Raw genomic sequence first — 2061 nt, 5'->3', positions numbered from 1 at the left:
TTGGAGGCTTACAAGATGGAACTTATGTGTATTATAAGTATGCAATTATTTTCCTTTAGAAACAAGAGATTTTCACATAAAACTATACCATTCAGGCCAAGAAAGAGAAATAGATAGGTGAAAGCCATTAGTGATATTGAAAATGGACTGAAATTGGCTTAGCTACTTTTGAATTTCCTTACTACAACTCATGTGAAAAATAGAAACTAAGTCCAATGAATCACGAGTCATCTAGGAGGCAAGTTTTAAGGAATTTCTCTGAAGGGACCATTCAGACCTGTTAATTCTTATCAGTAAATCATAACTTCTTAGGCACTTTTAGGTCAGAGGAAACTTGGTTAGAAAGAGATGAAGCTGATCCTGGTCATTTTTACTTTCTTGCTGTAGTTGAGGAAAAGAATAATATTTGGTTAGGTGACTGTCAGTTTCAGCTTTTAGACTCCTGAACTAATAATAGCTATCATTTGTTGAGTACTTGCTATGGTTCATGGCCCAGAAACTGTACTCTTTTTTTTTTCAAACATGATCTTCACCCTCAAAAGATGGTGAAACTGAGGCACACAGCAGTCACATTGCTGGTAAGTAAAAGAGCCTAGATTGAAGCTACCTCTGTTTGGCCCTTGGCTGTCTGTACACATTGCCCCCTCTGAATGGACAACATGAATTGAGTGTTTGTTGCATGTGAAGAATTACATAATATTGTAAAATGTGCAGACCAAAAATGTCTATTTTTAGGTCTTTTTTCCCCATTTATTTCAGAAAAGTTACAGTATACCACTCTTTACACCTTTGAATTGAAATGAATATTTCTCTCTCTTATAACTAACAGTATATACATGTGCAACTGCTTATTGTCTAAGAGGAAAGAGCCTTTAGTGTGGTGAAATCACTCTTTAAAGCTTTGAGAAGGGGATTCAGAAACAAATTTGCTGAAGGGGATTCCCTGGCTTTTAATGTTGAATATAGCAGAATTATTTATTGCCTGGATCAGAACTTTGCTTCCACCATCTCCAATTTTGTTCAGCTTTGAGACAGAGAAAATGGTCTTCGGGTAAATGGGCTTATTCTCTGGCTTGGAGTGGTCAAGAGGCTGGGTTCTGACCCAGGTACATTTCCTAGGGGAGCTTGGGAAAGATTTCTTCTCCCAGTGAGAGACAGCTATCCCTTTGTGCTTTTTGTCTTTGCAATTCTGGTGGAAACATGATATTTGGAGCTTTTGCAGCCACCTTGAGATCATGAAGATCTAGAGAATTACAGAGATGCAGCTTAAAGTCACCTGATTATTGACACTGGGAGAGGGCTGGAAATGTTTGCTGTTGAACATGATCATTTACTTTCTCATTCTAGTTGTTGGTAAAAACTATACCTCAACTCTTCTGTTTCTTAGATGTTTATATGAGAAAGTTCTATCTTGTATTAATTCATATATCAAATTTGATTCTCTATGTAACTATAATATATGACATATACATTTGCTATGAACTTTTGCACAATAACGCAATTAAATACTGTTATTTATTGAGAACTAGGTTATCAGACTCTTAGTGGTCTAATAACTGTACAATCTTATGTGATAATAATTAATGGCAAATCATTTGAATGTGAATTTTTCCATCCTAATTTTATCTTGGAATCTAGCCCCTTGAGTCTTACAATCAATTATGTTCAGAATTGTTAACTATGTTTTCAAGTAGCCTTGACACTGCAGGAGCATACTTAAAGATGACCTCTTGACTAATCTCAGGCCTGATTGGGACACTTTGCCTTTTTAGGAACCAGCGCTTTGTCTTTGCCTGGGGAAGCTCAGGCAATAGTCAATACTTATTAAACAAAGTTAAGCAGAAGTAAACCCAAGCTCAACTTATCAAGGATATGAGTCATACTGGCAGATTTGGGGTGGGGGAGAGAGTACGTGTGTTTTAGATTATATTACTTAAAAGAAGAACCTGAGGCAGGGATTTGGGTATATGTGAGTTAACAAGGAAATGCTTCTCAGGAAAAATCTGTAAGGGAGTGAAGGCAGCAAAATTGGCAAAGGGGAGGCATTGAGCAATGATATGG

This window comes from Homo sapiens, chromosome 5, assembly GCF_000001405.40.
Source record: "Homo sapiens chromosome 5, GRCh38.p14 Primary Assembly".
NCBI classification, from domain to species: Eukaryota; Metazoa; Chordata; class Mammalia; order Primates; family Hominidae; genus Homo; species Homo sapiens.
Note: the sequence above shows the minus strand (reverse complement) of the source record.